Source organism: Homo sapiens, chromosome 1 (assembly GCF_000001405.40).
Source record: "Homo sapiens chromosome 1, GRCh38.p14 Primary Assembly".
Taxonomy (NCBI): domain Eukaryota; kingdom Metazoa; phylum Chordata; class Mammalia; order Primates; family Hominidae; genus Homo; species Homo sapiens.
Window position 1 is genome coordinate 45,641,986 of NC_000001.11, and position 15,260 is coordinate 45,657,245.

Consider the following 15,260-nt stretch of genomic DNA (forward strand, 5'->3'; position numbering starts at 1 on the left):
CAAGCCTGATCAACATGGTAAAACCCTGTCTGGACTAAAAATACAAACATTAGCCAGGCATGGTGTAGTCCCAGCTAGGGAGGTGGAGGCTGCAGTGAGCTGAGATTGCGCCACTGCACTACAGCCTGGGCAACAGAATGAGACTGTCTCAAACAAACAGACTAACAAACACCACCAAAACAACTGCTTCCAAATTCACGGTTCTATAAGTTCTCAGTTGTCTGTATTTTGACTCTACTACCATGGTAACATTTCAGTGGTGTTTGGGGGTTGGGCGGTGGGGTAGGGGGCAGAATAACCCGCTACAGTCAGATGTTAGTTACCATGGGCAAATGCATGAGATGAGAAACAAGAGATAAAAAGAGATAAGGAATCTTTGCTCCCCTCCCTGCTAAGAAAAAATTTTAAAGTTGTGCCTTTAAAATGGCAAAATCTACCTACCCCATACTCCAGAAGGTGTCCCAATAGGTCTGCATGGCTGATGCTGTTTGCCAGCTTCTGGATTCAAGGAAGGCTAGGAAAAAAGGGATATGAATGGTTGATACAGAAAGCTGATCATTTTGGCACTTTTCACAAAGTAGCCATCACCATGGAACCTATCAAATAATTACATATTTTACATATTAGCAACACTTACTAATTTGACACTGTATTCAGAAACGTAACAAACAGAAAATATCAAAACACAAAATCAATAGGTATTATGTTAATATTAGGTTCTCCTGAGTTTCATTTCCTTTGATATAAGGGATTTCATTTATTTTAAATAAACAGACTAAATGTGCGAATTCCCACTTTCCTATAGGATATGTATGCCAAATAAGGAGGCACTGAAAGTTAGATGAACAAGAATGTGGATCATTTTCCTCAGATTAAAGGAGGACAATGTGGTCAGTGAAATGTATAGTATTCACTGCATTTCTAAGATGGGTGTAGGGCAGGGGCAGACCATATGCCAAGGACTGTGCTAGAAATACAATAAAGAGCCCCTGTCTTCACACGGGTCACAGTTTTGCTATAAAAACTTCTAGACAAGTTAAGTACAATAAAAGGTTACAAGGACGATGAAAAAAATTCATATTAGGGAAGAAGGAGTACTCAGTAAGAAACATCAATTCTACTTGAAAGAGAAGTGCTATCAGAAAAGGCTTTACTAACAGGTGATTTAAGAATCCTTAAAGATGAATTCCAAAGCTGGAAAAACGGTAATTCCAGGAACAGAAAGCATTAAAAAGAACAGAATATTCAGGTCTGCAAATAGTTCAGCATGAGTAGTGCTAGGGAAGGAGGGGACCCTTCTGTGGGGAAAGAGGTATCTGGCAAAGCAGGCAAGAGCCAGCTTGTGGAGGATTTCTTAGGGGAGATTAAGTTTTATTCTACAGGTAATGAGGATCCATCTTTCATGCAGTTAACATTATCTAATTATCAACTTACAACCGTCACTCTAGTAGCAGCTTAAAGGATGGATCTGAGGTATTTAAACATCAACTAAGAGACCATTAGGAGATCAATTCCATAGTCCGGGAGGGTAATAAAGGTAACAGAAGTAGAGAACGAGATAAGGGAAAGGGCAGGGAAGAGTTAAGAGCAATAGACTAGACTTAATAACTAATCGTATGACACTGCTGTCCTAGCCCAAACTTTACGATCTGGTAACAGGGTAGGAGAATGGCTTTTTTTTTTTTTTTTTTTTTTTTTTTTTGTGACAGAGTGTCACTCTGTTGCCCAGGTTGGAGTACAGTGGCACAATCCTGGCTCATTGCAACCTCCACTTTCCAGGTTCAAGCAATTCTCCTGTCTCAGCTTCCTGAGTAACTGGGATTACAGGTGCGCACCACCACACCCAGCTAATTTTTGTATTTTTAGTACAGACAGGGTTTCACCATGCTGGCCAGGCTGGTCTCGAACTGACCTCAAGTGATCCACTCACCTTGGCCTCCCAAAGTGCTGAGATTACAGGCATGAGCCACTGTGCCCAGCAGGAAAATGGCTTTTCAGCACAATTGCCTGTGAACATTATACAAACAACAAAAAGACACCCAGGCTCCACTACAGAGCTTCAGAATCAGAATCTCCAGGGGCAGGGCCTCTAGCAGGTATGTATTTTCCAAGCAATCAAGGTGAGAACCACTACAATAGGAGAACAAGCACAAATGCAAATGAAACTACCAACTCTCTATATAAGTGGACAAATCAGTGACAGATTTTCAAGGACAGGTAAATACATTCCTCTAGATGGAGTGGTAGAGGCAGAAGGAGTGCCCAGCCATAAAAGCTGTGGTTGTTTCCTTGTTTCATTTTAATAGGCATGTTGTACCCAGGGTTCTCAGAGACAATGCTCCTATTTATACAGTATCTTTGATCTCTTTCTACTGTTTTAAAAAATACAGTTTTAAAACTTGTAAAATATAAACAGGAAAAATATAAAACAAATGAATAAGTTAATGGGTAAAAGTTCTTTTAAACACTACATGGTTTAAGCAACATAACATTACCAGACAAACCAGAAAGACATTACAAATCTCATTAGAAAAAAACCCCAAAACTACTCATACTTATGGTGATCACTGCATTTTTTTTTTTTACTAACCCATTGTGTCTCCCTTGACACTATAGTTTTGTCTCCAAAAACAATCTCAGCTTTTAATCTACTAGTTTTTAGAAAATCTTAAGCCTCTTTCTATAAATTGGTAGTTGGTTCTAGAGGTTACAGAATCCTTAGTGGTTTTGTATTCTTCCATTAGGAGACACACACAAATAACATGTGGTTGTGCTTCTTTTAGTGATGCTGGCAGACACTGGTGCTCATAGCCTAAAACTGTCAGCTCAATACAAGATGCAAAAACAATGATCTAATTTTACAATTCTTTATAAAGTAGTATACTTCCATAAATAGGAACTTCCCCTATTTGGCAATTCAACAGTACAGTTCATATAGAAAAAATATGATACATGCTTGTTCCTAAGGTGAGGTAGGTATCATTGTGAATTCACAGATTTAAATCCAATTTGATGTGATTCAACCCTCGTCGTTATTATTATTAATTGATGCATAAAACTGTCCCATGTTTGGCCTATGGAACCCTCTTCAATTTGGCTTCTAAATCCTTTTGCTACAACCCTAAGTAGTTCTTTACTTCTTTGTTATCTAGTTTGAAAAAATATTCCAAGCTCTTCTTTTAAGTATGCTGTCTGGATAAACTATTTCAAGATCACAATCCAGGCAGTAGAGCCACTCATTGCTATGGGGTTGTTCACTGTTTTTATGTCTTTTCAGTGGACAGAACCGCCTAGAAGTATGTATTTTTCACTCCAAAGCTAAAACACCTCATAACTTATTACTGATATTCCCAATTCAAACTGAGTACCCTTGTGGATTTTACGGAACATCTATTTTACGTTTTTATTTCCTCCTACAAGAATCCTGATTCTCAAGCATACAAAGTATAGAATATCATATTTAATTGCTTTATTCCATATTATGCACAAGTTTCAGAATAGCAATGTCAGTATTTCACCAGTGACCAAAATGTTTTGTTTTTTTTGGACATGTTCTCCCCATCTTCCCACTTTAAAAAAGTTATACTATGTCCAGATTGTGAGATCATATAACTATCACATGCTAACTCTCTTTTAACCCTCATTTCTTCTTAGCTCTACAATTAACCATACATTTAGTATTTACCACCATTCCTTTTGTAATCTTTCTGGTTAGTTTGTCAGAAGCTTGTTCTTCAGTAGTTCTCAGGAAAAGTCTTGGGAACGATATTCCGAAGTTTTTTGTTTTTTTTTTTTTTGAGGCATTTTATTTGTAAATATGTATTGCATCCCTAGAAACAAAATCCAAGGATTTTCCCTCCTGTGTGTTTTCGTCTTGCTTCTTCATGGTCCATGATACCAGCTAAGGCTGTCAATATGACGAAGTCAAATGGTTGGGATAGAAGCAGATTGTTCTGCCGTTTTTCTAGATCTTTGAGTTGCAAATCAAAGCTGGGGCTCTACACTTGTTTAGCCTGCCTGTGAGGTTCACAATTTTCCCAGCTCTGTTATCATCAATGATTTCAAATTTGCCAATGTAACGATGCTTCATCATCACAGCTAGAAGTTGGACAATGACTTTGGAGCATGGCCTAGTAAGAACCGGCGTTTCCCTCTCTTTTCGGCATTGGTGATACTCTTGAGAGCAACAGGTAGGATGTTCACACACACCATTGTGGCAGCGCGAAACAATGCCGGAAAGAGCAATATTCCAAGTACTTACACATTGATGTTTGTCTGTGATCTTTATAACTGAACATTAGCTTGACAAAGCACAAAATCTTTGGCTCACATTTTCTTTATTGTAATTGTTACTCCATTTACTTGTTATAAAGCTTTGCTGTCACAGTCTATCTGGTTTTCTTTCTCTTAACAACTCAGTCTTTATGCCTGAATGGCCAAAGGATATCTTTCTTTTTTTGTTCAAGTCTAGTATTTTGTAAGAGTATGTCTTAGTCATCCTGGCTATCCTTTCAATTTGTAGATTCAAATCTAAATGTATTTCAGAAAAATGTTCCTGAATTATACTTTTCAGTATTTTTTTTTTTTTTGAGACGGAGTCTCACTCTGTCCCCAGGCTGGAGTGCAGTGGCGCGATCTCAGCTCACTGCAAGCTCCACCTCCCGGGTTCACGCCATTCTCCTGCCTCACAGCCTCCCGAGTAGCTAGGACTACAGGCGCCCGCCACCATGCCTGGCTAATTTTTTGTATTTTTAGTAGAGACAGGGTTTCAACATGTTAGTCAGGATGGTCTCGATCTCCTGACCTCGTGATCTGCCCCCCTCGGCCTCCCAAACTGCTGGGATTACAGGTGTGAGCCACCGTACCCGGCCACTTGTCAGTATTTAAGCTATTCCTTTATTTTGGTTTTCTTTCTGGGGGCGGGGTGGGAAGATCCTATTATATATCTATATTAGATCTTTTCTGCCAAACTTTTTTTTCCCAGTTTTAATTTTTTACCTATGTATTTCTCCTTCATTTAAAAAATTTTCCTTCGCTGTCTAATTCTTGAAAAATATTATTTATTCTCTTTATTCTTCAGTATTTTTCTGAAATTTTTTATTATTACTTCTTTTCAAGAGTTCTAGCCCCTTATTTTGAGTTTTCCCAGATGATTTTTTTTTTTAAACCAACTTCTTAGGATTTTTTTTTTTTTTTTTCTGAGACCAAGTTTCATACTCTTGTTGCCCAGGCCGGAGTGCAATGGTGCGATCTTGGCTCACTGCAACCTCTGCCTCCCGGGTTTACGTTCTTTAATGTCCTGGTTATCTTCTCCCTACCGCTTTTATCTGAACCTTTCCTTTCGTCTCTACTAACTTGTCTCTCTGCAGCTCAATCTGGATTATATTTCCAACAGTTTGTCCTCAGTGACGGGCTTTGTTCTGGAAGGGTATAGTGGCCAGCTAGCATGAACAACGATAGAACCCTGTGCTGGTTACCGCTTCTTAGTCACAAAGTCATCCCTTCTGCCTGTTGAGCAAAAATGTGCCTGGACACTTTAAAACTTTTCCTTTGACAGCTGGCATGTTAACTTCTGCCAGCGGAGAACAATGGAGAGATTTTTACTTCCTGTTCCTGTGTGTTTTTCAGCAGGCTCCCACAGCACCCAGTTCCTCAAAGCCAGGTTCTGACATATAAGTGAGCTCAGAGACCAGCAGCTTCCCTCAGCACCTCATCTGAGTAGTTTTGTAGCAGAGTGACACCTCTCATGAAAAGCCTTTCAGCACGCTTCCCCAGAGAAGCACATCAGCAATTACTCTGCCATTCAGTGAGCCACAACTGAGCCCTTTCTAACCAGGTATGAATCTCAGCCCTGGGGTGGTGGTAGGGAAATGGGGGACTCATTCTTGGACACACTGTCTTAGCCCTAAGGGTAGTGGCTGCTCCTTGTATGTATGCATATATGTCTGTGTGTATGTTTTTTTCTTTTTTTTTGAGACAGGGTCTCACTCTGTTACCCAGGGTGGAATGAAGTGGTGCCATCTGGGCTCACTGCAGCTACGACCTGCCAGACTCAAGCAATCCTCCCACCTCAGCCCCCTGAGTAGCTGGGACTACCAGGTACCCACCACGTCCAGCTAATTTTTAAATTTTTTGTAGAGACAAAAGTTTCACCACGTTGCCCAGGCTGGTCTCAAACTCCTGGACTCAAGCAATCGCCCTGCCTCGACCTCCCAAAGTGCTGCAATCACAGGCGTGAGCCACTGAACTGTGACTACGTGCTATTTCTATTTTCTTTAAAGATCTTTTTACTTTGTACTAGTCAATCCTTCATTACTCCAATCTTGCTATAGTTAAATTCCTTATATTAACTTTCTCTATTCAAACTACTGTGTGGTTTGAACTCTTGACTGGTCCAGTCAGATCCTTCATACCTTATCCCAGAGCCCCTGTATTTACTTGTTATTCCATTACGGAAAACTACTCCCGATTAACTGCTGCTCTTCTCAAATATGCCCTACGAGCTTTCCAGAAAAACGGTTGGCTCTGTTAGCATTCTTTATGCTGTCAGGTGCTCTGCTGCTTCCCTTCAGTTCCCCCTGCACAAATGCTAGTATTAACCAAGCCTCTTATATAGATTTTGGTGGTTTGTCCCTATCCCTTTACGGGTATGTGGGGAAATATCATTTTGCTTTGACGTAGATGGCATCTGTAGATTTTGTTGGTTCCTCAACTCTACTTGCTTTGTCTTATTTTTAACTTTACTTTAAAATAATTTCAGGGCTGAGCACAGTGGCTCACGCCTGTAATCCCAGCACTTTGGGAGGCTGAGGCAGGCGGATCACTTGAGGTCAGGAGTTTGAGACCAGCCTGACCAACATGGCGAAATCCCGCCTCTACTAAAAATACAAAAATTAGCTGGGCGTAGGGGTGCGCATGCCTGTAATCCCAGCTACTTGGGAGGCTGAGGCAGGAGAATGGCTTGAACCCACGAGGCGCAGGTTGCAGTGAGCCAAGATCGCGCCATTGCACTCCAGCCTGAGACACAAGAGTGAATCTCTGTCTCAAATAATTTTGTGCAGGAAACAAAAGTTTTCACTGCGACCTGCTGCATGAGATCAGGTATGGAATTTTCTACTTGTGGCATGACATCCACACTCAAAAAGTTTTAGACTGCAGATGCTCAACCTGTATTAATATTTCACATTTGCTTCCCCATTCTTTCTCCTGAACCATGTGCAAGTTGCAGGACTTGATGCCACTTACCCTTAAATATGTATTTCCTTAAAAGGATATCTTTTACATAATCAGAGTAATTATTAACACTTATACATACTATTATCTAATCTACAACACTTATTCAAATTGTCCCACTGATGTTTTAGCAAAAGAAAATTTTTGCAAAATGGTTTTGCCTCACCCAGTAGTTATTTAATCTAGGTTTACATGTTGTTTTTAGTTGTCATATCTCTAGTTCTTTAATCTGGAGCTTTTTTTTTTTTCATGGCCTTAACATTTTTGAAGACTACAGGCCAGTTATTTTGCAATTCTTTTGTAGAATCCTCAATTTGGGCTTGTCTGAGGTCTCCTATGATTAGATCCAGGCAATGCATTTCTGGAAGGAATGTTACAGAGGTGATGGTGCATATTTCTCAGTGCCATCATATCAGGAGGTTTAAATCTGTTTCACTACTGGTAATTTTAATATTTTTTAATACTAAAATTTTCATACAGTAAAATGTACACATATAAAATATACTCAATTCTATGAGTTTTTAAAATGCTAATACCTCCCTAACTTCTTTGAAGATTATTAACACTTCCATCAACCAGAAAGTTCCCTTCATACCCTTTCCCAGTTAATCCCCACTGTGCACAGGCAACCATAAAACCATTCTGATTTTCTTTCCCATCATAGATTATTTGGCTGTTCTGGAATTTCATATATAGTTTTTCTACAGAGTCCTTAGGATTTTCATTTCACCTGCAAACACAAAGTTTTATTTCCTCTTGTTAAACTGTATACATTTCTTTTTCTTGCCTTATTGTACTTGTTAGGACCTCTAATACAATGATAAATACAAGTGATAAGAGTAAACATATTAATATTGCTCCCAATATTAAAGGGAGCTCTGCTTTTACTGGATAATTGGGGAAGATGAAAAAGCTGTAGCCAATACTGCTGGCATCCTCTCAGAGTCCCTTCTCTCCACCAATTTCTTACTCCTCAGGTTTCAAACACATCCAAGTCTCCTAATCCTAGAACACTCTACCCTCACACCTGGCTCTTTATTCTCCAAAGAGTAGTGTATCATTCATCACCAACTTACTCTCTAACCCTTACAACCACACTTGTCAATTTTGAAAGGCCATCCCAAACTGCCAGAGTCAAAGCTCTCTCCCACACTTAGTAACAGCTACCATTTAAAAATCTGTGTTCCTGTCTATATCATGTACTTCAAAAAAGCAAAAAACAAAAACCTATCTGTCAAGGTCTGTGCTGAGTGGTTCACAAACATTCTCTAACAACTCAGGGACAATTAGGACTATTTAACTTGCCCAGGTAACAATATAGGACTGTTAATTACACGAAACCAATACGATTTTAAAATAATTTTCTAATTATACATACATATGGTATAGAAAAAAATAATACAGAAAATCTACTGCAAACAATCAGGTCCCAAAACATCTTCAATTTGTGATTTTTATCTACCTACTTTTTCTTGGTATACTTGTTCCTTCTTCAGCTAACCACTTCTCAGTCTCCCTTACTGCTAATCCACAGGTTCTGCTCTACACCTCCCTTCTTTCCAATGTATTACTCTCCTTGAGCGATTTTATTTATCCACAAACCTCAACTATTATCTCTATTTTCAAGTGCACTTCTCTAGACCTAACCCATCTCTTTGGCATCAAGAATTTGTTTTCTCCAACCAATTCTGCTCCTTCTGCTTTCTCTCTTCAAGTTAATTACATATTATTCATCAAGTCACTTTGGATAGAAATCTTTAGGAAAATTTGCATTACCTTTTTATGTAAAGAAAGCTCAACAGTGTACATTTAATCCAATTGGTGGCAAGTTCTTTAGCCTTTGCCTTTTTGAGCTTGGCAATGCGAGTCACAGACTTGGGACCCAGGACATTGCCTCCCCAGTGATGGCAGATCTCATCGTATCTGTCATTGTAATTGATCCTGATAGCTTCCACCAGCTTAGACAAACCTCCTTTGTCTTCCAAGTTAACCTGTGTGAAGGCAACCAGTGGTGCAGGTCTTTCTGTGGAGTAGACATCCCACTCTTGACTTCCCCTTGATAATGCAGTAAGGGACCCCCATTTTACGACACAGGGCAGGTAGGAAGACAACCAGCTTGATGGGATCCATGTCATATGCAATCACCACTAGCTGAGTCTTCGTGTTCTCCACCAAGGTGGTGAAGTGCTGACTCCTGCTTGAAAGACAGGTGGTCTCTTACTGGGGACATCCCCTTTGCTGGCAGCTTTCTTCTCAGCCTGGGCCAATAGCCTCTGCTTCTTTCTCTTGCTTTGCCTCTGATCTGTACTTGTGGGCCAGCTTAAGTAGCTGAGTAGCTGTTTGGCAGCGCAAGGCCTGGATGAACTGGTTAATCGCAGGAGGCATTTTCAGCTGCATATAGAGGATGGCTCTCTGCTGCTGCAACCTGATATAGCAGGGCCATTTCACAAAGCAGGTGAGGTCTCTTTTGGGCTGGGTGTCCTGTCCAATGCCAAAATTCTTAGGCCTTTTCTTAAATAGCGGATTCACCACTTTCTTGGCTCTGCTTCTTGACGACAGCAGGGGCCAGAGCCAACTTCTTCCCCTTGCCCTTCTTTCCTTTCGGCATCTTGGGTGGCGGGAGGAGAAGAAATCTTATTTTTGACTCTTCCTTCTCTAATTAACAATACCTCAGTTCCAATCCTTTAAGTTTAGTCTCCAAAACAAGGTCTTTTACAAACTGAATTTCCATTAACAGAAAAATGGATAAATAAATCAAGTGTATTCACACAATATAATATTTGCTATAGAGTAGTAAAAAAGATCTAGAGCAAGGTTTGTCAGCCATGACACTACTAACATTTTAGCCTGGTTAATTCTGTTATGAGGCTGTCCAGTGCGTTTTAAGTGTTTAGCAACATCCCTGATCTCTACATGTTAGGTGATATTAACACTAACCCCAGTTGTGACAACAAAGATGTCTCCATATAATGCCAAATATCCCCCAGCGGGCAAACTTGCCCCTAGTTGAGAACCACTAAGCTAGAGCCTCATGATTCAACACATGTAAACTTCAAACAATTTTACATAAATAAGAGAATTACAGTATGAATTATTCATATGAAGGTAAAAAAATGCACAAATTGATAAAATAGAATGTTTGTATCATTCCCACTGGGAATGTCACAGGACTGATAATGAAGTTTCTAATCAAACTATGCTAATCAGTAGCATACTACCCAGTTTAAAAGGTACAATTACTTCTACTTTACTCCACACTATTTCTTGTTTGCTACAATCTTCTCTTTTTCTTAATGAAGTACGTAAGAAATCAAAACTATTGGGGATTCAAATAAATTAGTCTTCTATATGCACAGTTGGCTATGGTTATAATATTAGATATACTCTAAATATTTCATTTCAGATACAAATTATGTTAAAATCATTATGGGTTTATTTAATCATAGAATAAAAGTATTAAAGGAAAGTTGTTTTTTAATAAGAATATACTGTGATTGCTGCATTTTTTTTTTTTTAAGAGATAGAGTCTTGCTTCCACCTCCGCCTCCCAAGTAGCTGGGGCTATAGGTGCACGCCACCCATGTCCACCAGCTCTGTTGCTAATGCTTTCATTGCTAGTTTGATATGAATTTCATCAAGTTCCTTAAGTGTAATGAGCAACATACATTGTTTTCAAATCATTCCCACTGGTCTTTCTTGGATTTGCTTGTAATACAAGTTTGCTGTATAAATAATAAAGATTACATTTGAAATTGTAGTAATTTCTGGACTATTTGTTATCTAGAACATTCTGGACAAATATTCAATATGTAAGGGCAGTATAGACCTTCCTGAGGATAAAGTTTTGAAGAACACTCACCTGGGAATAGGAATTCACATTAATATATAATTTACAGCAAGGACCCCAGGTCACTTCCTAGACTTGAGGGTAGAGGAGCTAATGCCTAAATTTCACTCCTCTTTAGGTGACTCTACTAACTGATGAAATGGCTATAACAGAAGCGACTGATCGATGTGCTACTTAAAAACAGCTAGAGGCTGGGTGTGGTGGCTGTCTGTAATCCTAGCACTTTGGGAGGCCGAGGTGGGAAGATCACTTGAGGTCAGGCATTTGAGACTGGCCTGGGCAACATAGTGATAGCTAGTCTGTATAAGAAACAAAAAAATTAGCTGGGCGTGGTGGCATGAATGCAGTGGGGCAATCATAGCTCACTGCAGCCTCAAACTCCTGGGCTCAAGTAATCCTCCTGCCTCAGTCTCCCTAGTGGCTGGGACCGCAGACATGTGCCATCATGCCCAGCTAATTTTTCAAAAATTTTTTATAGAGACAAGGATCTTGCTGTGCTGCCCAGGCTGGTCTCAAACTCCTGGCATCAAGCAATCCTCCTGCCTTGGTCTCTGAAAGTGCTGGGATTACAGGCATGAGCCACTATGCCTGGCCAACTTAAAGATACTGATTTGTTAAAATGATAATCTTTTTTTTCTTTTTTTTTTTTTTGAGACAGAGTCTCACTCTATTGCCCAGACTGGAGTGTAATGGCGCAATCTCAGCCCACTGCAACCTCTGCCACCTGGGTTCACGTGATTCTCCTGCCTCAGCCTCCTGAGTAGCTGGAATTATAGGCACTTGCCACCAAGCCCAGCTAATTTTTGTGTTTTTAGTAGATATGGGGTTTCACCATGTTGGTCAGGCTGATCTTGAACTCCTGCCCTCAGGTGATCCACCCGCCTCGGCTTCCCAAAGTGCTCAGATTACAAGCATGAGCCACCGAGCCCAGCCTGATAATCTTTTCTTAAATAAAATATATTTAAAACATTTTAAAGATACTCTGAAAATGCTACCTTTGATTTAAGAGGCCAAAAGGCATGTAATTTAACACACAATAACATCAAGTGTTACTGAACGCATAGGCAACAGCTGAAATACTCCCAATTACATGTTCATGTCACAGTAATTTTATGTGATAGAGAACAAAATCAAGAGAAAAAATGTTTTATCATAGTTGGAAAAAAGACAATTTAACATGCAAGAGTACATTTTAACATAATTATATTTGAGTAAACTTTATAAGACTTAAGAGAAATTAAATATTTTTCTAAATTCCAAAGACACAAAGATGAAAAATTTGCTACAAGTTACATAGGAGTTTTGGTCACCATTTTCAAATATTATCAACTTAACTTCTTTCCTCTAAAACAATAAAAACCTCAACTTACAAATTCCTTTTTCTGTAATTTCTGAAATGTTCTCATTACTAACAGGGTCTCATATTTCAGACATTATTTGTTGGCTTCTAACCACACATCTAAAGATTCATACTTACAAAGTCCTCCTCTTCAAACTGCAACTTTTCCACCTTGTCTTCTTTCTTTTCTTCCCTAATCTCCATAGGTGGCTTTTCCTGAAAAGCACACCCTTTCCGGGAGTGGAAGCTGCCATTCCAATGGCGATGGTTCCCTGTGCCACCTCCACTACGTTGGCTCATGCCATCATGACCTCGGGAAGAGCTATGCCAACCAGATGGGTTCCCTGTGATTCCAGCATATGCTCCCTTAGAGACACCAGAGTCCACAGAATCATGGCGGAACAGGGAGGGCTGGTGCCAAGAATCTAGAATAGTAAAGAAAAGGACTAATTAGATTGTTTGCTTCCTGATTTGGTTTACGGTATTGGCCAAAGGCCTTCAGGAGACCTCGTTAATAAAAAGTCCACACAAAAAAAATAAAAAAATGTATCTTTTCTTTGTGAGGTAATTTCTGAAATCAGTTCAACTGAACAGATGATTCATGAGAATCATAATCATAGTTAGACCTAGAAAGCCAATGTAGTTGCGTAATGACTACTAGAGAATCTAAATGAAAACTATGTTCAGAAAAGATCCTATTTCAAGATTACAGACATGTACCCACAGCCTGGGCTTGTCCTAAATGAGTAGCTTAAATATAGTCATGAAAGTTGGACATGGCTCACCTCCTGCAGTTCGTAGGGGACCATTGTTAAAAAAACCATCAGAGGAATTATGTCGACGGCGGCTTACTCCAAATCTACCTTCTCCTCTGGGTAGGTGCTCTCCGTGTTTTTCGAAGGTGGCAGTAGGTGACTAAGATGATGAAGTATGGAGAGGCAAATGGATAAATAGCTATTAGTCCTTTTCAATATCTTAATAGGCTTTGCATCAGGCCTTCAAAAAACAAGTAATAATGGTGATAGAAACTCATATTGTAAGCATATGGACCCTAAGGGTACCCACAGGTGCCTAATTTAGAGAAGTCCTAGGTTATATATTCAATTGCTAATTCACTTCCTTTATTCCAGGAGAGGAGAAAAGCTAGCCACTTCAATTGTTTGCATGAAAGGAGGCGGAGGGGAAAAAAGCCTTGCAAATATTCATAAATATAAGCTCCAAAACTTTACACTTAAAAATATTTACCTTGTAGGAGAGGAAAATCAAGATGATTGCCTCAAAAATAATTCTAAAGTTTTAGTATTTCTGGAATAAGGGTGAAGGCAACGGTTGAAATATCACCTTGGGAGGTCAGTAGTAATTACAGAACTTTTAAAAAAAAAAAAGAGATGAAGTCTCACGGTCGCCCAGGCTGGAGTGCAGTGGCACAATCAAAGCTCACTACAGCTGCTTACCCTTGAGCTTAAAGGATCCTCCTGCCTCGGCCTATGGAGTAGCTAGAACTATTGGCCCATGCCACTAAGACTGGCTAATTTTCTAAATTTTTTGTAGAGATGGGGGTCTCACTATGTTGCCCAGGCTGATCTCTCAGTCCTGGCCTCAAGCAATCCTCCTGCCTTGGCCTCTCAAAGCTCTGGGATTACAGGTATAAGCCACAGCTCCCAACTACTAGAGTTTTTACAGTTTTATAAAACATTTATTTCCAGATATAATACCTGTAACAATACTAAACTTTTGGCATCATACCCATTTTACTCATTTACACATAATGAAAGAGGTCAGAGAGAAAAAATAAGTCTTTGAGGTAACAAAACTGGAAGGAAGCAGTTTGAGAAACATTATTATAGATGAACTCTAATATCCCTTCCTATTTCAAAGAATTTTATTCTATGACATTCTTAAATGATAGAGACCAAAGTCCACAAAGCCATGAAAATATGGGTATGTTTGACAAGGAAAACCGTAAATCGGGGCATGTTTACATTTATTTTTCTTACTATCAACATCCTTGCCAATATTTTACCCATTCGAGTGGGTAAAAAGATTTTCTCCTGTTTTCTCTTAAAAGTTTTATGGTTTTAGCTTTTTAACTTATGTTCCATTTCAGGTTAATCTTTTTGTGTATGAAGCAAAGGCTGAGGTTCTTTACTCCGCCCCCATGTAGATAGAAGCTAGTTCTTCTAGCTCAAAAACACAACACTATCACTTCCCCATTGAATTACCTTTGTACTTTAGTCAAAAATCAACAAAATACATACATAAGCCTTTTTTTTTTTTTTTTAAGAGCCAGGGTCTCAGTCACCCAGGCTGGAGTACAGTAGCCCGATCACAGCTCACTGTAGCCTCAAACTCCTTGGCTCAAGCAATCCTCCTGCCTTAGCCTCCCAAGTAGCTGAGATGACAGGTATTCACCACCACACCTGCCTAGTTTTTGTTGTTGTTTTTTTTTTAAATTTTTCTTGTAGAGACAAGGTCTCACTTTGCTGCCCAAGCTGGTCTCAAACTCCTGGCTTTCAAGCAATCCTTCTGCCTCAGCCTCTCAAAGTGCTGGGATTACAGGCATGAGCCACTGAGCCCAGCCTCTACAGGCCTATTTTTGAACTCTCTATTCTATTCCTTTTATGTCTATCATTATGCCAAAACCACAGGGCTTTGCTTATTATAGTTTCGAAAATGAAAGAATGTCTTCTAATTCTTTTTACTTAAGTTCACGGTGCTAAAACAATTATTCTTCTCTGATAGATCTATATACTTTTCAGGTAGCCCACTAGCTCCAAGCTTTGGGTCAGATTAGGCCAATTATGAGGTCCTGCAAATTTTGTTAAGACAATTTGAAATGAT

The 15,260-nt window shown here is 39.4% G+C and overlaps 1 protein-coding gene and 2 pseudogenes across 16 annotated transcripts in view; all 3 read right to left on the reverse strand.

Moving 5' to 3' along the window:
• GPBP1L1 (GC-rich promoter binding protein 1 like 1) overlaps positions 1 to 15,260 on the reverse strand; it is a 60,807-nt gene that overhangs the window by 14,682 nt on the left and 30,865 nt on the right. For all 15 annotated transcript variants that reach the window (XM_047427077.1, XM_024448810.2, XM_047427059.1 and 12 more), the window contains 3 exons: positions 13,205 to 13,334; positions 12,558 to 12,844; positions 442 to 514 (listed from right to left, as the gene is read on the reverse strand). In XM_047427077.1, coding sequence (XP_047283033.1) covers positions 442 to 514; positions 12,558 to 12,844; positions 13,205 to 13,334 — 490 coding nt within the window. The remainder of the gene's footprint in view (positions 1 to 441; positions 515 to 12,557; positions 12,845 to 13,204; positions 13,335 to 15,260) is intronic.
• On the reverse strand, positions 3,787 to 4,700 carry RPS15AP10 (ribosomal protein S15a pseudogene 10; annotated as a pseudogene). Its single transcript, NR_026768.1, has one exon. The product of NR_026768.1 is annotated as a ribosomal protein S15a pseudogene 10 (transcript).
• RPL7AP16 (ribosomal protein L7a pseudogene 16) lies at positions 8,993 to 9,865 on the reverse strand (annotated as a pseudogene).